At 35.0% G+C, this 20,365-nt stretch overlaps 1 long non-coding RNA gene across 3 annotated transcripts in view; it reads left to right on the forward strand.

The window, feature by feature from the left end:
* LOC124900817 (uncharacterized) overlaps positions 1-20,365 on the forward strand; it is a 140,808-nt gene that overhangs the window by 57,297 nt on the left and 63,146 nt on the right. Inside the window, exons 2-3 of one of the 3 annotated variants that reach the window (XR_007058378.1) lie at positions 5,694-5,795; positions 12,377-16,737. This is a non-coding gene — a long non-coding RNA (uncharacterized LOC124900817). Of the gene's footprint in view, positions 1-4,883; positions 5,796-12,376; positions 16,738-20,365 lie in introns of those variants that run through there. The other 2 variants (XR_007058377.1, XR_007058376.1) reach the window with 2 other exon arrangements.

Consider the following 20,365-nt stretch of genomic DNA (forward strand, 5'->3'; position numbering starts at 1 on the left):
ATCTGAACATTTGGAAAGTAGCTCCATGCAGCACCATATCTCCGAAATTTCTCACTGTCTTCAATGGAATAGGTCTTTGTCTTTCATTCTTGTATCCAACTCTCCTAGGATTCAAAATAAGATGGCAGTCGACCCTTCTGTGGGATCCATAACTGTAGTACAGTGTGAATGGGAAGGAATCTTCAACCATAAATAGGTTTTTTAACCTTCTCTGCTCCTCCTGGAAAAGAAAGGCAGGCAGCTGGTAGAACATTTCTGCACTGTTCTCAATTAACTTTTGCTTGTTCCCCTCAGTGAGAAGAGAATGAGCCATCTCCACCCAACTGTGCTGTGACTGGAGCACATTAAGATGCACAAATAGCAGCCTAGCCTTTGAGTCTTTCTTTTCATATTTTTGCAGACAGCTTCAGTCCAAATAAGGTTCTTACTCCTCCTGAGATAATTCCTAACATTTCTAAATGGGTTTCAAATTCCCCACCAGTTCCACTATCAGTAATGAGCACCATATTTCACAAATGGGCCCGTGAGTTGTGCAGATGCACATTTTGTAACTGTATTCGGTTTCATTTTGAAATATTTTCAGGAACTCTGGAAAATAAATTATTTAGAAATGGAGGGGATAAACACCACATTACAATTATAAAGTGAATATGGAGGACTAAGAAAAATTAAAATAAAAACACTCACTAGCAACATTCTAGAGTTATTTTACTCTCCTCTGCCTTGGAATATTATGCATTTTGTTCTACTCAGGTGATTTTTGAGCTGCATTTTAAAAATTACTTTGAGTCTTGAATATGTTCTGTGGTGATAGAAGTTTGCCTTTGAGGGTGAACTTTAAATTTAGGGGGCTGCCCAAAGGACAGAAATAGCCCAATGAATAAGGTAGATGATTATGGTAGATGATATCAATTTAGTTGAAAAAAATAAATGGAAATGGAAAAGATTTTCTCCAAATGGATTTTACGTTGCAGCATGTGAAGGCTAATAAATACCGTAATCTCTGAAAATGACTCTTTTAAGAGGTTGACTCTAGATTGGCATGCTTTTTTCTTTTCTCATAGAGGCTATATGTATTGTGTTTTTATTTGTCCTCTCATTTACCTGGAATTATGTACCTAAATAGTGCAGCTGGAGCTGGATCTCACAAGCATCCTGGAATTCTGGTCCACTTCAAACAAGTATTTGATTACATCAAATGTAGTTAATTAAGATAATTACATTGTGCTTTTCCTCAGAAGAATACTAGAAGAAAATAAAAAACAGAAAAAACCTCCTGTATTAATAAATTAAATATTTGAAATGCTTCTGGAAGTGTTAAATTATCTTCAGGTGGGCAAACTTGTTCTAAATTCAAGCCCAGGTGGTACCTTACATTTTTTGGGGGGCGGAGGGGCGCTTCTCCTAGAGCATGGATTCAATTAAAGTTGCCTGACAGTGAAAAATCAACCTATTCTAAGATGCAGGCGAAGCTTTCTTCCATAGCAAAAGCACTGTTCTGCTTCTTGGCTTCAGTCATTGCTTTGTTTGCACTTTTTTTCCCTAAGTTCACACTTAAGGCACATTTTAATGCCTGTGACCACCACCTATTTCCTGTTATTGTGTTTCTTATGATAGGCTGCCCTCCTTGGAACTCTTATCTTCTCATCATCTCTGAGTCCTTTTAGTTGAGGTGAATTTGCCAGAGGCAGGGAAAACTGAACGAGCTCTGTTCATATTTGAATGGGAACCACACCATAGTATACTAAAATAAAGCATGACTATCCAATGTGTTTACCACTTTTGTTGTGGTTTTATTGTTGTGTTGTTTTAACTGTGAGCCCGAATTGGAACTTTTTAAAATTTCAGACTTCTATTTTTCCCCTTTGTCTTTTTTTTTTTTAAATCTCCAAGCTTGGACCTTAATTTGTCAACAGATCTCTTTCACATTATTTTTGGCTAAAGGCAGAAAGAAATTGTGTTGAAAAATATTATGAGAATACCTCTCCTGCTAAGTTTTGAGCCCAATATATATAGTAGACTCCAGAGGTTTGGATTATTCAGTTAAGATTGAATAAAACATCCAATGTTTTAGATTATCTGCTTAATTAAATCCCAACGCTGAACTGCTAGAGGTTTTCTTATCTAGAATGAACTAAGTGAATATTACAGAGTGACCTAAGTTGTAGGCAAGTGAGCTACTGCTTATATGTGAAGGGAATCCAAAACCCAATTGGTATGTCTTCATAACATGGCTAAGGACAAGTTGAGTTTATGTACATTTCTAAGGCCAATAGACGGTTTGCAGGACACTTGTTTCTGACATGATTAATATATGAAACGTGTCTGAATTAATCTGATTATTTTACCAAGCTATATTTATTTCAAGATGAATTATTTAAAAAACCTATTTAACTGGTAAAAACTTGGATTCTTAAGCTCGGAGGAACAAGCAATTTAAAAAATTTCTCAGCATATGAACAATGGTAGCAATTAATTTAATAAACAGTTTCTGAGAATCTACTCTATATTAGATGCTGTGATAGGCATTAATGATAGTGGAAGCAGAAAGACAATATTCCTCCCTTCAAAGAGCTCTGTCTAATCAGAGAGACAGCCAAGTAAATACACATTTTTAATTTAAATGTGCTATGAGCTTTAACACAATTATGTAGAAAGCTCTGTGGGGGCAACGAGGTTGCACATCTAATATTGTAGGTGACACTTTACATGAACTACTCAGTGGTTGCAAGATGTACACTAAATCCAGAAGGAAGAGTAAGAATTTCCTACAAGATGAGAGGCTAAAAGGAAGTAAAAGGGAATTAATTTCAGAAATGACATCATATGCTAGATGACAAACTAGAAAACCAAAGGCTGTTATTTATGTATCTTCACATTATATTTTATCTGTATTACACTGTATGGCATATTATACAACATAGATTATCTGTGCCTTAGTTTTTTAAGTGTAAAATTGGTATAATGATAGGTTTTTCTGAAGACTAAATATATTAGTACATATGAAACACTTAGGAAAGTGCTAAGAATACAGCAAATTAATATATATTAACTATTATATTAGCTATTATTTTCATGTTTATCCGTTCCCACTGATAATGCATAGCAAAAGCACAGGGTGGTTGATCAATGTATTCACTTATTCAGGAATATTTATTGAGCATGTACTATGTGCCAGATACTGGGGATTCCAAAGTAAAAAGACCATAACCTCCCCTCACAGTGCTTAAAATTCCAATACTGAGATGAAAGAAAGTAAATCATCACACAAACAGCGGTGTAAATTTAGAGACTAATAGACATTGAAAGAGCAGGAAAATGCTTGAAGGTGGGCAGGAGACGCTTCACTTGTTGTCATTGTTGGATTCCTCCTGAGAGACACAGTAACCTAAATGTTAAAATGAAGACAGCCCTATAAAGGCCTGAGGTAGGAAAAAGTTTGGTATGTCCCAGAAATAGCCAGGAGGCCACTGGGATTGGAAGACAGATAATGAGAGGAAGAGAAATAGTAGATAAGGCTGGAGAGACAGGCAGGGGCTAGATCACATAGGGCTAGATAGGGGAGGTAAGAAACTTGGATTTCATTTCAAGTGTAATGGAAAGTCCCTTCCAAATGAATAAGATCTAAGAGGCACAGTCAGTCAGTCTTTCAAAAACTTCTTCACTTACCTCACCGTGTCATCAAGCCCCCAATATAACTTGCCTGAACTGTTGGTTTCTTCATATTTTTCCATTCCCCTTCAAAGGGCAAAGCCATCGTGTTACCAGGAAACCATGGAGGAAATGTCCCAGGTGCCCCATTAAGCTTCACAGTTAAAAAAGTGAAAAAGACAATTCTTGATCTCAAGAAGCTCATGGCCCAGAGGGATAAATAGACACATAGGAGACATGAAGCCATGGAGTCGTGAGTGTGGCGATTGAGACAAGCATAGAGAGAGTGCTGGGGGAGCCTAAGGGAGCTCCACGTTACTCAGGGCGCTGGCCTAGGCCTTCTGAAGAAAGTGGTGAGTATGAGTTAGTAGGCAAAGACAACTGCATGGGAGAAAGTGGCAAGGTGCAGGTTTTCCAGGCAAGGTGAGCAATCCTGAGGGAGAGTCCGGAAGCCAGAAAGCACAGTGCTTTCTTGAGAAGGAAGGGAATTCAGCATGACTTGAATTGGAGCCCAGTGCCTTAATTTAATTCAAATTTTGGTGCTGCTTCTACTCCTTCACATTTTTCTTAACCTTCCTTTCTTCTGGATCCATACTGCTTTGTTTGGCCATTACTGACATGGTTATCAATCTAATCTTTAATAACAATGATTTTTGGCAAGATACTGACTCTGAATATTGATCTGCTCACATGTAAAATGGGTTACAAATTCGTATATCACGGTGAGGTTGTGAAAATTAAATCCACATCTCACAGTGTGGGTTAATAAGTAATCCACACCTCATGGGGATGGACACTAGCAGAGCAGCTGGCATACAGAAAGGGATCAATGCAGATTCATCTAGTTCGATTCCTCAGTTGTTTTTAAGAGAATGCTCAAATTCCACAAACCTCTAATACTTTCTATTATAGTACTTACTAAAGATCTTCTCATTCTTTCTAAATTTTCCTCAAGCTCTCTGTACTGTTTTACTACTCTTGTCCACATTTGTCTATCCTTCCTTTATCAAAATGGATTCACTGGCTATTTTTTGAAAGCACTCATCTCTTGCTTTGAAACCTTCTCTCAGGCTTACAAGTCTTCTTTACAATACTTGCAAAGCATTTACTTCTTCATTATCCTATACAGCTAGTCTTCTATCATGTAGGATAGGAAGAGAAATTGTGACTTCTTTCAGAATATAGCTTTTGAAAATATTTCACTTAATAAAATAACTGTGATAAACCTTTCTTTTTCTAAAAAAAAGACTGAGATAGGTTTAGAATTTTTCTATTTTTCTCCATTATCTTAGCATTTTTGATGATTCAAATGAATGCCGCTAGAGATTTTTTCCTATCCCCATTTTTTTTGCATCAGATCTTTGAGGAAATGAAAAATAGAATGGGGATAAACTTCGGTCCAAGTTTACTGAACAAATACCTATGACATGACTGTTATGTTCACACCCTCTATGAATCTTTGTGGTTGAAGGCTTAGTGTCGAATTTCCCAGTGTTCTGGAAAGCTTAGGCAGATGAGGTACAAGTTGTATGCCAGGACCGTCAGAGAATCTATTTATTTGGACACTGGCTAAGATAGGCTAGCTGGCATCTATATCATAGATGAAAACCAAGGTATCACTAAATTTAATAACACACCCCAAGCAAGTTCTTGTATGCTCATGATCTCATTTTGCCAGCTGTTTCCTTCTATCCCATTTGGCACCAAGATTTTTAAAGACACATTTTGTTCCAGACCTTAAGGGATAACTGCTGGCAGTAAATTTTTCATATATAAAATTCTTTTGTCCACTAAAATAGTTGCTCCTTGTTCAGCTTTCTTACTGCCAGTGTGAATGGAAGATATTTGACTCTGGATATAAAGGGCATGTAGTCTTTTCCTCTACTTCACTATCAGAAGGTGAGCCCATGATATACAAGAGAGGAAAACTAAAATTCCACACAAGGTACTAGTGAGTCACATTGAGCAGCAGCACACATTCTATCTTACCCCTCCTTTGGTTCTTTGGGATCTAAAGCGTCATTTTTTTCACCTCATTTTAGGGAGCTGGTTTGGATTAAAGTCACATACAAACTGAGCCATCTCCAACATCTACATCAGGAAGTAACTCTAACTCAAGATAGAGGTCACTGGAGGGGCAACAGGTTTGTATTGCTTATTCTGGCTTCTCTTTTCGTGTACTGGAGATCATTTGGAAGAGCTACCAGTGACTGACCCTTTATAAGCATTATATTTTGAAATAAAAGCGATTGCTTGCTCATTAGCACTTCCCTTGATGAAGTATACAAGTGTCAGGTAAAACAAACTGAATCCTGCTCATGATGGATTGGAATGGACATTCCATTGGGAGATATCTGAGCCAAAACCACAAGGCTTTGGCTCCTAGTTGCTCATGAAGCTTCTAATTGACTTTCATACCACTTGCCAATTATTGCTCTTAAGAACAGTCCTTGAAGTAGAACTTTGATGGGCTTGTGCATTTCTAATGCTGAAATTCATTTGATCTGTAGTGTCTCATGGATTTTACCCACCAAATTCATTTAGAAGCATTATGTGCTATTTAATGGGAGATTATATTTGAAGAGTTAATATAATATGAAAATCTAAATAATTCACCATCTGTAAAAATGATCACTTAACTACACCTTTTGAAAGGCATTAGAATACAATATTTACAAAAGTATATTTTTCAGATTTAGGATGTTTTTGTGTATTAAGTAAATTGTAAAAAAATCTATTGATAGTTACACTGATTTTAAGATTACTCATTGTAAAGCTTTAAAGTATGAAGTATATTTAAGTATCAAAAGTCTTATTAAAATTATCTTCATTTCTTGCATGGAAATATGTTCAATTCTCCGTATTTTAAAAGGAAAAAAATAGACAAATGGGCATATTGGTCAAAAAATTAGAAATAAATACTCATTTTTAATGTATTCGAATTTGTGAAAGGTTTATTCCACTGACCATATCTTCCTGAAATTTTAGAGAAATGAATTCAAAAGGTTTTCTATGCATGTTTGTGGCTTCGTAAGTAGGAATGCTATCCAGCAGACATTTATTTAAAAAGCTATCTATAATTATGAGAGCAATCTGACTCATTTCTTCTGCTGGCAGACTGAATCAGAGACTACTTTTGGACTAACGTCAAGCAGTTATATAGAATATTTTGTAAAAGTCAGATAAGTAGTAATGTTCTGCATTTTTCATCCCATTTATATATAAATAAAACATGATTATATAAATTGCTGAAATAAAGATTGTAGCTATTTCTTTACTCAAAGTACTCTGGATATGTTTGTGAATAAAGAACAAAGGAACATTAATCATAGACTATGAGAAAATATGTTTCAATTGTCTTTATCTATATTCATTCACTGACTGAATACATTTTTCACACTGGAGAAATGCACAGATGATTAAGCCCAGGGCTTAAATACATATAGGGCATTCTAGAAAAATTCACCAATGTTAAAGCTATGGTCCTTAATTTCAAGTTGCTTTAAAAACTAATTTAATGTGTTATTTTCTTAGAAATTTATATCTTTATTATAGAAATTTTAAATAATACATGTAGACTAAAGAGGAAAACATTATCAATCCCCTTCATCACTCATGTTATGCAGATTTTCAGTCTTTCAGATGTAGGCATCTATCTTTAAAATGTCTTTGTTATAGCTTAAGGATTACTTCCCGGAGAGACCTTAATTATCTAATTAGGTTTGGCCTATTAGAATAGAAATCTCATTATGCATTACATTCTGTAAGTTTTTGGTGTACTTTTAAATTTTTCTCTCTCACACCATAAAGAAAAACTCCACGAGCTGGGACTGTATGTTTTCTATTTATTATTTTATTCTCAGTATCTTGTATAGCAGTTCACATAAATGTATGTCCAATTATTTCTTCCACAAAGAATTATCAAGTGTTTTTAATTGGCATAAAAAAGAAAGGAAACAAAAACAAACGAAAATACCAGAAAACCCTCAGGTTAATAGTTGATATACTGCATTACAATTCTAGAATCATACCTTTTTATACTGTTGAATATTTTCACATATAAACATGATCTGTCTTTTTATAAACATGGTCTTTCTATTTACTCAATGCATTTTTCATCCCTCCATAAAGTTAATTTTCTTCATCTAAGTCCTACACATTTCTACTTACGTATTTCGTCTCTTGTTGCTACTTGCTATGGTCTGAATGCTTGTGTCCCTCCAAAATTCATGTTGAAATCTAATCTCCAATGTTGGTATTAAGAGGTGGGGGGGTCTTTGGGAGGGTACTAGGTCATGAGGGCAGAACCTTCATGAATGGGATTAGTGTTCTTACAAAAGAGGACTGAGGGAGCTTGTTTTTCTCTTCTGATATGTGAGAAAACATGGTGTAACTTTTCCTCTAGGACTTTATGTTTTTAATTATTCTTTTCCTTGAAGTACTTTTGACACCTTAGACAGAAAAATGAACTAAGACTGCTGGCCATGATGGCTCACAACATACCTGAATCCCGGCACTTTCGGAGGCCGAGGTGGGTGGATCACTTGAGCCCAGGAGTTTGAGACCAGCCTGGGTAACACAGGAAAACCCTGTCACTACAAAAAAGACGTATTGTCATCAGACAATACATCTGCTGACACCTTGATCTTGGACTTCCCAGCCACCAGAACTGCGAGCAATAGATTGCTGTTGTTTATATATTACTCAGTCTAAGGCATGTTGTTATACAAGCTCGATTGAACTAAGGCACTACTTTTATCAGGACTATTTGCCATTAAATTTTTAGAACAATTTTTAAATAAATTAGCATAAAAAATTCACTTCTATGCAATTTTTTGTTGGTCGCTAATCTCTTTAGTTATTTATGAAAGTTTTTCAATGGGTTCTCTTGAGTTTTCCTGGCAGCACATAATATAATACGCACATGATGATACTTTTTATCACCTTCTTTCAAATATTTATGTGACCTTTATTTTTCCTGATTCTGCATTGGCCAGCATATTGTGAGTAATTTAAGGTAAGAGTGAGTATAGTGATGGTCCTTGTCTTTTTCATACTTCAATGGCATCATTCCTTGGATTCTATTTTTAAGAAAAATAGTTCTGCTGCTTTGAGACAGATTTTAAAAATCATGTTCAGAAATTTTTAAAATTTGTTTACTAATAGTTTTTATGAGAAAATATTACATTTTCTCAGTGGCTTATTCTGTGAAATCTGTGAAGATGATCTTCTAGAGTTTTTTCTTTTGATTTTGTTACTATTTTCAAAATTAGGTTAGTGTATTGAATTATCTTTTTATTCCTCGAATACATTCTCCTCTTTTGCTATTATGATTAAAAATATTTTATTACTTTCTATTGGCTGACATTATGTTTGTGTTTTTTGTATCTATTTTCTTAGGGCAAACTGTCATAGAGTTCCCTCAGTGAGGGTTGTTATAAGCATTTTGCTGGATTCGAGTAACATGAGGCAGTACATAACTTGTCTGAGAAGCTTAAAGCTCTTGTTTCCTTCATTGTCATTTAGTTCACTCTCTGCCCACGTGTTATACACTTACGTTTCTTCTAATTTCAGCTCCTAAATACTTAATACCTCTTTAAAAATTCTCCTTGCTGCCTTTTGATCTTAATTGACTAGAAAACAACTTTCATATTTAGTTTAGTCTAAATCAGATTTATAGAAACTTCATCAAAAAGCAATAAACCCATATTAACAAAATAAAAAATACAAGAAGGTTCTAAAAACATTGAAAAATACTGTCTGAAAGTGGTGAGTATAATCAAAATTGGATTAATGTCTTTATGCTGCCATTTATTAGCCTTGAGACATTGGGAAAATTATTTAACCTATTACCTCAGTTTGCATATTTGCAAAATGTTACTTAACAGTGCCTAGTTATAGTTGTGCTGTGAGGTTTAAATGAGATAAGGAATATAAAGCGTGTAGCAAAGTGCTTGGTACATGGGAACCACTCTGGAGAAGTTAACTCATATTACTATACCTGGACTAAATATATTTGCTGGTTTGTTTTTTAATTACTGTATCAATAAGAAGAAAAACAGAACTGGTATAGAAAAAAATAAACTATGTAATTCAATGTTATAAAGCCAACTAATTAAGAATAAATTGTGGCAGATAATAGAATTATATATAGAACATAAGCTCCAAGATAAAGATTCAAATTATTTACAGATAATTACATTTAAATAATCAATGTCAAATTTTCCACTTATATGTGTTGTGTGTATATTATTGTACTCTGAAATATAAATTTGGCATTTCTGACAAGATTTTGTTGTTCTTAACTTTTTAAGGCTGAAGGCATTTTAATATCGCTATTTTTAATTTTTTAACTTAAAGATTTTCATAAAAATTGGTTACTATAAAGTTGTATTAGCTAATTTACAATGTATTGTATTATTGACACAAATTTTTAGACTTTGCTGTTAAATTATGAGTGTATTGCCATCTAGCCAGGCTAACATTTTATAATTTTCTCTAAAATTATAATGACAGCCAGTAACATGGTTATGTTCATTCTTAATAAATTAATGATGCTGAAGAGTCAAGATTGAGAGTGCAACCAAAAACCAATAAGTTTTATATTAATAAATGACACACAGGGTCTTAGAAAAAGAGGTATCATAACTTTCATTTGGAAAAATAGATTTAAAAACATATTTACTAAAATCTTGCTTTACTGGGGGTGAAAAGAATCAGAGATTTCCAAAAGTAAAATCAGTATTTATATACCCACATGCTTACAATAATCTAGATCAATATATTTCTATCTTTAATGTGTAACGTTTCCCCCAGGACTTTATATTTTTTTTATTATTTTGCTTGAAGTGTTTTTATGGCTTAAATAGAAAAATGAGCTAAGACTGTTGGGTGCAGTGGCTTTCACCTATAATCCTAACATTTTGGGAGGCCAAGGCAGGTGAATCACTTGAGCCCAGGAGATCAAGACCAGCCTGGGCAACATGCGAAACCCTGTATCTACAAAAAATTTAAAAAATTAGCTGGGTGTAGTGACCCATGCCTGTAGTCTCAGGTACTTGAGAGGCTGAAGTGGGAGGATCACCTGAGCCTGGGGAAGTTGAGACTGTAGTGAGCCATGACTGCGCCACTGCATTCCAGCCTGGTGACAGGCGTGAAGAGTGAGAGCTGTCTCCAAAGAAAAGAAAAGAAAAGAACTAAAGAAAAAGGAACCAAGACTTTAAAAAGATACACATAGATGTTTTCAAACTGTGGGTTTACTAAGATGAAAGACTGCTTAAACCTTTTCTAAGAACAATTTGGTTATTTGTTCATTTCCTAATTGCATATATTTGCCCAAATAAGACCCAAGAAACGCCCTGTGCCACTACCGCTCCATCTATAACAACGCTTCTTGTCAATTAAATGACTTTTTCCAAACTGATGTTTGCTTATTCTTTCCTTTATTTATTGTCATTTAATACTTTTAAGGCTTGAGAATTTAGATTTTTTTCTGTCTACTTTTCATTTTTGAAGGTTTTGAGTTGAGACTTCACAGAAAACTGAATACAAAGGCACTTCTATTACTTCCTGATCAAAGCATCATCTGAAAATTAGCTACAATTAAATTTCAAATACAAATACAGAGAAAAGTCAATCTAATATTATCTTTATTATCCAAAAGGAAACTAGAAAGGCCTTTACAACAGATACAAATAAGACAATTAAAAACTAAGTTCTATACTTCTCTGAACTGCCTGGTAATTGCTCTCTTTTGACAAAGTATCTTTCTTTATTTTGCCATTTGAGGGGCTCTCTGTTATTTTTTCCTTATTAGTTGTTCTTCCTTCTAGCTTACATGGCTTACATTCCTAGGCTGTGTCCCCTCAGCCCTTTCACAGGGTCTTTCTGTACCCCCAAGTAATTAGCATAGATAATTTGCAAATAATGACATGGAAAATAGACACAAAATGTAAAGATTTTATGTGATGATTTATTTTATGACACGATCCCATCCAGCCGCACATATTACCTGCACAACTTATTCCCATATGTAATGCACTGTATTTTTCCCCAGTTTCATTGCTTTAGGAGAGATTAACCAGACTGTGTTAACAAAGAACATTTCCATGTAGGATGCACCTGTACAAACGTGTGCAAATATTTCCTCATTCCACAGTTCATTGGTGTTCTGATTCGTTTAGGTGCTAAAGTTTTAATTCACATAAAATTCCTAAGTAAGCAGTTCTAAAATTTTGATTTTGACTTGTCTTAAAATATTTCTAAGTAAGCAGTTCCAAAATTTTGAAATTTTGATTTTTTAAAAATTTTTTTGGCCCAACTTAACTGAAAAAGAGAAGGAAGAATAGTAAATCCTCCTGAATCTATCAGCAATGGAGAGGACAGTAGGGTCTAATTTTCATTTATGCTGTCTGTCAGGTTGATGGATTAGCTTTTATTATACATGGGTTATGTGCCAAACAATGTCTTTTGATTTGGATTCAAGGAAAACAGCAGGAATCTTGAATGATGAGAGTTCTGAAAGAGTTGTTATTTCTGGTCCTTTGATAGAAGTAAAGAGAGACTCATAGCTAAAGTAACACCAAAGTCTCAAAATCAACTTCACATGTAGTTTACTCATTGGGTGAGACACAATATGAAGAGTCAAAGCTAGTCATGATTCAGTGGAGTTTGACAAAATTTCTCTGTGTCCACTTAGCTAAAAGCCTTCTTTCTCTGTTCCCAGGTGCTGAGATGTCTATGCAGGCAAGTCTGAGGTTAGCCTCCCAGAGTTTCGGGGAAAAGCACACAGGCATTCCTGAACACTCTGAGAGGTGCAGAAAAGTGGCTGAGCAGACAGACACAAGGTCTGGCATGGAGGCAGAGGATCACAGCGGAGCATGGACCTAACAGCTGGATGCCGTGTGGTGATATCACTATCAGCAGAAGATGCAACAAGACCGGGGCCACTGCTCAAGGCCAGAGAAACAGGTTTGTAGGGGCCAGTGGGTCAGCGGTGACCATAGAAGACAGTCTTCTCTACTTTGATAGCAAAACAATGCGTAAGGCACCTGAGGAACTCAGATTACAACCAGGGAGAAGAAAATCAGAGGTACAAGGTGGGATGCATCCTGAATTGGTAGAGGAGATACCCCAGAGTGTTCTACCAGAGTTGACAGAATTACCTTGAATAAATAAGAAGAAGGTATTTTATTACCAACAGTCTCATGGGCTAAGTTTAAGTACAGAGGAATAAAGTTATATCTTTACACACTTGGGTGTGTGACAATGTAAAATGTCAACATTATACTTCCCAATGGACTATGCCATGCAGAAGGCAGAAAGAAGTCAAAAGCCTGTTCTTTTTTTTCCCATTCCATAGTAAATAGCAGAAATTATTCCCTTTGTTAATCTAAGCATACACCAGTCTGTAGGTTCATAATGAGAAATAACTTTTTGTTCTTTGATTTTTTTAAACAAAATATAGAATTTATAAGACAAACCCTTTTTGGTTTGTGTTTTATTCCACCTTCTTTTAGCTAGATTTGAATGAAAGCAAAATAAAGCTATGTATTGAATAAATATGTTAACTCCACAGTATTTTTGAATATATATTTTTCATGGTATAGTTCCAACTTTCATTGGTGATATTGATATGAAAGTCAGATTTACTGAGAGGTAATGTTCAGCCTTGGAAGCATCACCAAAATGTGTATATAAGGCCTTTGTCCACTAATGAGTGTCCTTTTATGTGACTGGTTTTGTAAAGCCTTACACTGTGAATGGACCGTCAATCAACTCGCAGCTGCACTGAGGCCTTCGGATGGCTGTATCCATGGCAACGTGCCAAAAATGGCGGCGCAAATTAATCCATTTGTGTGAAATTCTCAGTGAGAGTCCACTTTCATCTTTCAGAAACTACTGTTAGGAAGTCTGATGATAATGTAAAATACTAAGCAAAAGCAAAATAGTGATGGACTATCCACAGGATCTTCTCCCTGTAAACAGTGGGACTTCTTTTCCTTTTTATCTGCTAGAGATGACAGAGCAGAGTTGGGGATGTAATATTACCACCATAATGTTCTTTTTACAAAAAAAGTTACATTAATTTAATGTTCACATATAGGCTTCTTTTTCACCTTCTCTCACAATGCTATCTAATCAGCCTGGAAAATAAGTACAATGATTTACACAGTGGTACAAAATTAAAAGTAATCTTTTATCTTGATGCTTTATTGCTAATAGTATTTGTATAGCATATAGCATATAGCATGAGAGGTACTTCCAGCATCGAATCTGAAATTAATTGTTAGCTTCCTCTGTTATGTGAACAGAAGCAGCTAAGTCTTTGTCTCTTAGAAAGGTTCTTTAAAAATCATCATTCTTTGTCTTAGATCATGCATTATCCCTACATCTACACAAGTTTGCTTTTCAAATGCCATATCTTAAAAAAACATATTTTGCCTCTGTTCGGATAAATTTACTTAAAACAAAATTGCAAATTGTATTGTTAAAATTATTTGATGAAAAGGTAACTTTTCACAAACTAAACATGTAGGGCAGATACTGCCTTTTATTTTAGAATTTACATTCATTAATCAAAGATATCCTAGTGAAAGCATAAGTGATGTGCCTTATGTCTACTTGTTACTCCTGTCTTGGGGACTTGAGCTGTATTTTTACACACAGAACAAAAGGATTATTTTCTCTTACATTGTTCTCAGCTTTCTAAAGTCATCAGCTACTTTGAGAATCTAATAAAAGTTCTAGACACCTATGAGAAATACACATATGTATGCTGTACAAATTTCCTTGCAGTTTCAGATGATCCATGGACTACAGGTTAAGAAGATGTTGGTCAGGCCAGGCTCAGTGGCTCATGCCTGTAATCCCAGCACTTTGGGAGGCTGAGGCAGGCAGATCAACTGAGGTCAGGAGTTCGAGACCAGCCTGGCTAACATGGCAAAACCCCGTCTCTACTAAAAATACAAAAATTAGCCAGGCCTGGTTGTGCACACTTGTAATCCCAACTACTCAGGAGGCTGAGGCAGGAGAATCGCTTGAACCCAGGAGGCGGAGGTTGCAGAGCACCGAGATCATGCCATTGCACTCCAGCCTGGGTGACAGAGCCAGAGTCTGTCTCAAAAACAAAGCAAAACTATGTTGGTCAAATTGGTGTTGAAAATTTTCTCTAAAACATTGAATGGAGACGTCCAGTTTCAGTCCCAACACTTAAAGAGCTTGGAAGTTGTCACTTCCATACTTAAAACAAGAAAAAATTGAACAAAGGAAAATCAATGGCTTTTCTTGGCCTTAGTAGAGAACTGGATTTGCAGGGCAAATTGCTACTTTGAAAACCAGAGAAAGCAGTAAGTCTAGAGAGTCACAGGTGAGATCTATTTACACAGAGCAGAAGCAGCTAGATCCATAAGCTGGGAGGAACACTGAAATGGCATTTCTAATGAATTGCTGGAGGCCAAGAGTAGACTAACTTGAGAGTGAGAAACTCCTGGGGGCTACAATCTGAGGAAACTCCCAAACTGTCCTAGGTTTACTTCTAGAAATTTTGTCAGCTTCTCATGATGATAATCCAAAAAAATTCCTGTTACAGTTTTGGCAGGGGAAGGGGAAGAGAAAACATTGTGAAATACTCCCAGACTGTTCTGTATAAAGCAGACCTAGTCTCCAGGAGAAAAAAACTTTACCTAAGTCTTATCCCACAGAGAAGGACTTTCCTCCTACTCTTACTCTTTCTAGCCTTCGGTCTCATGTCAGTTGGGAAAACAAGATATATCACTGGAAAAACACTTGTGAAGGTCACAGCCCAGAGATGCAGACAGATTGAGATTTAATCATAAGATTATAGAATGCTTCCCCCACAACACACCTGACCACCGCACCAACATAATATATGAATGAATAATAAGAATGAATTACAGCTGAAAGAGTTGGAAGACACACAGTCTGTCTAAGGAAGGGTTTTTAGAGGAGCCCAAAGCAAGAGGAGAGACAAAATCAAGGATAATAGCTGCAGCCTCTGGCACCAGAACAACAGCAAACATTAAACAAAGCCCAGCTTCTAGCCACATGAATGTAAATCTTCACATTAAAGGCCCATTTACCTCAGTTCTAATTACCCAATGCGTCAAATTGTAAAGCATGATAAATGGAAGAAAACCCCATAATCTGAAGAAACCATGTAAGCATTAGAACCAGACTCAGATAGAACACAAGTGTTGGAATTGTAAGGCAAGAAAATTTACATAACTATGGTAAAGAACATTCAAGAAAAGTTAAATAATGTTTGAAGAGAAGGACTCCACTTACAACACTAGGCAGATCATTGAGGTAGAAAATAAACAAAGAAACTCTGGACTTAAACTGGACTCTAGACCAAATGGACCTAATAGACATTTATAGAACATGCTACCAACAACTGTAAATATATATTTTTTTCATCTGTGCATAGAACATCCTCCAGAATTGACCATAAAGCAAGTGTCAACAAACTGGAAAAAATTGAAATTATATCAAGTGTCTTTTCAGACCACAGTGGAATACAATTAGAAATCAAAACCAAGAGAAACTCTTAGAATTATACAAATACATGGAAACTAAACAACTTGCTCTGGAATGACTTTTAGGTAAACAATAAAATTAGGGCAGAAATAAAAAATTATCTAAGATGGATGAAAATGGAGACACAACATACCCAAACCTCTGTGAAGGCAATGCAAGGAGGAAAATTTATAGCAGTAAATGCCTATATCAGAAAGATAAGAAAATATCAAATTAAAAACCTAACATCACACATAAAGGAGCTAGAAAAACAAGAACAAACCAAACACAAAGCTAGCAGAAGAAAAGAAATAACAAAATGAGAGAAAAACTAAATGAGATTGAGACCCCCAAAAATACTACAGACGATAAATGAAATAAAAAGTTAATTCCTTGAAAGAATAAACAAAATTGGTAGACTGCTAGGTAGATTAACCAAGAAAACAAGAGGGAAGATTCAAATAAGCACAATCAGAAATGATAAAGGTGACCTTATAACTGATATCACAGAAGTACAAAAGATTATTAGAGACTGCTATGAATATCTTTATGCTCCTGAACTAGAAAACCTAGAGGAACTGGAAAAATTCCTGGAAACATACAACCTCCCCTGATTGAACCAGGAAGAAATAAAAATCCTCAACAGACCAATAATGAGTAATAAAATCAAATCAGTAATAAAGTCTTCTAACAAAAATAACAACAACAAAAAAAGCCCAGGACCAGAGAGATTCATAGCTAAATTTTACCAGATACACAAAGAAGAGCTGGTACCAATATTACTGAAACTATTTCAAAAAACCGAAGATGAGGGATTCCTCCTTAAAGCATTTTATGAAACTAGTATCACCCTGCTACCAAAATCAAACAAGAACACAACAAAAAAAGAAAACTACAGGCCAATATCCCTGGTGCATACAACTGGAAAAAGCCTCAATGCAATACCAACAAATCCCATCCAACAGCATATCAAGAAGATAACTGATCACTATCCAGTGGGTTTTAACCCGGGGATGCAAAAATGGTTCAACACACACAGATCTATAAATATGATTCACCATGTTAACAGAACTGAAAACAGAAACCATATGATTATCTCAATAGATGTGGAAAAAAACTGATAAAATGCAACACCCCTTCATGATAAAAAACCTCAACAAACTAGACATCGAAGGAACATACCTCTAAGTAATAAGAGCCACTTAGGACAAAGTTGAAAGCATTCCCCCTATGAGCTAAAACAGGACAAGAAGGTACACTCTCACCACTCTTGTTCAACATAGAAGTGACAATCCTAGGAGTGAAAATCCACAGTAATCAGGCAACAGAAAGAAATATATGGCATCCAAATTGGAAAAGAGGAAGTCAAATTATCTTTGTTTGCTGATGGCATGATTGTATATCTATAAAACCCATAAAACCACTCCAAAAGACTCCTAGACTTGATAAACAACTTCAGTAAACCTTCAGGGTATAAAATCAGTGTACAAAATAAGTAGCATTTCTAAATACCAATAACAGTAAAGCTGAGAATCCAATCGGGAACTCAATCCCATTTACAATAGCCACAAAAGTGTATCTAGGAGCATATTTACCCAATGAGGTGAACGGTCTCTACAAGGAGAACTAAAAGAATCAATATAATTAAAATGTCCATATTTCCCAAAGCAATTTATGGATTCAGTGCAATTCCTATCAAAGTACTAACATCACTTTTCACAGAATTAGAAGAAACAATCTTGAAGTTCACACGGAATAAAAGAAGAGCCTGGAATAGCCAAAGTAATCCTAAGCAAAAAGAACAAATCTGGGGACATCACATTACCTGACTTCAAATTATTTTACAAGGCTATAGTAACTAAAACATTATGGTACTTTGACAAAAGTAGACACATAGATCAATGGAACAGAATAGAAAACCCAGAAATAAAACCACATTCCTACAACCAATTGATCTTCAACAAAGTCAACGAAAATAAGCAATGGGGAAAGGACTCCCCATTCAACAAATGGTGCTGTGAAAATTGGCTAGCCATATGTAGAAGAATGAAACTGGACACCTATCTCTCACCATATAGAAAAATTAATTCAAGATGGATTAAAGATTTAAACATCAGACCTGATAATATAAAAAATCTAGACAAAAACTTAGAAAAAAAAACACTTTTGGACATTGACCTAGGCAAATGATTTATGACTAAGACCTCAAAAGTTAATGCAACAAAAACAAAAACCGGCAAATAGAACTTAAACTAAAAAGCTTCTGCACACCAAAAATATAATCACCAGAGTAGACAGACAATGAACAGAATGGGAGAAAATATTTGCAAATTATGTTTTGAACAAAGAACTAATACCCAGAATCTATAAGGAGCTCAAACAGTTCAGAAAGAAAAAATACAACCTCATTAAAAAGTGGGTAAAGGCAAAAAGTCATTTCTCAAAAGAAGACATACAAAAAGCCAAAAAACAAATGAAAAAATGTTCAACATCATTCATCATCAGAGAAATGAAAATTAAAACCACAATGAGATACCATCTCACATCTGTCAGAATGGCTATTATTAAAAAGTCAAAAAACAATAGACATTGGCGTGGATACAGAGAAAATGGACTGTTTATACACTGTTGGTGGGAACCTAAATTAGTTTAATTTCAATGGAAAAAGGTATGAAAATTTATCAAAGAACTAAAAATTGAGCTACCATTCGACTCAGGAATCCCAAAGGAAAAAAAAATCATACATAAAAAAAACACCTGGACTCTTACGTTTATTACAGCACTATTCAAATTAGCAGTGTTATGGAACCAACCTGTGTCCATCAACAATTGATTGGATAAAGAAAATGTACTATATATACACCATGGAATACTATACAGCCATAAAAAGAATAAAATCATGTCTTTTGCAGCAGCATGGATGGAACTGGAGTCCACTATCCTAGAATATATAACTCAGAAACAGAAAATCAAATATCACATGTTCTCACCTATAAGTGGGAGCTAAACAATAGGTACACATAGACATAAAAATAGAAATAAATGACAATAGGGACTCTAAAAAGGGGGAAGTCTCGAGGGGAGTGAAGTTTGAAAAATTATCTATTAGGTACAATGTTCATTATTTGGGTGATGGATATACTAGAAGCCCCAAATTCACCATTATGCAACATATGCATGTAACAAACATACATGCACCTCCTAAATCTAAACTAAAATAAAAAATTTAAAAAGAGAAAATACTAGAAAATTTAAAAAGTAATTGTAACATAATTGAAGAATACCTTTGACAGGCTCATCAGCAGACCAGACACAGCTGAGGAAAGAATCACTAAAATCATCTGAAGAGAGATCAATAGAAACATTCCAACTGAAATACATAGGAAACAATAATGAAAAAAGTGGAAAAGAACTCAGATAAATTACCAAGCTTATAATACAGATGTAATTGGAGTACTGGAAGGAGAAGAATGAAAGTAGCAGCAGAAATATTTGAAATACTTATAACCAAGAACATTCTAAAATTACGAGGTATAAAACCACAGATCCAGGAAGCCAGAGAACAAAAAGCAGGATAATAAAACACACACACAAACAACAACAAAAAGCAATGACACCAGGTATATCATATTCAAACTGCAAAAAACAAAGAGAAAATCTTAAGAGAAGCCAGAGGGAGAAAAATCACCTTATTTATATAGAAACAAGAACAAGATTTCTAGTGGAGTTACTGTCAGAAACTATGCAAGCAAGAAGAGAGTGGTGAGAAATATTTAAAGTATTGAAAGAAAAGAACTCACTAACTAGATTTCAATATACAGTGAAATTATCCTTTAAAACGGAAGGAGAACAAAAACCTTCTCAAATATACAAAAAACTGAGAAACTTTGCCAGAGGCCTTCCCTAAAAGAAATGTTAGAAAAAGTTCTTCGGGAAGAATGAAAATTATATAAGTGAGAAACTCAGATCCACATAAAGAAACAAATAGAATTAGAGAAGAAATAAATGAACACAAAATAATGTCACTTTTTAAACTCTTAATTGACTTAAAAGAAAATGTTTATATAAAGTAATGGCATTAACAATGGGTTTGTGATTGTGAATTATGGATAAATCAAATAAATGACAGTAACATAATAGAAGACAGGAGGAAGGAAATAGAAATACTCCAAGGGAA

The sequence above is a fragment of the Homo sapiens genome, chromosome 4 (assembly GCF_000001405.40).
Source record: "Homo sapiens chromosome 4, GRCh38.p14 Primary Assembly".
Lineage (NCBI taxonomy): Eukaryota > Metazoa > Chordata > Mammalia > Primates > Hominidae > Homo > Homo sapiens.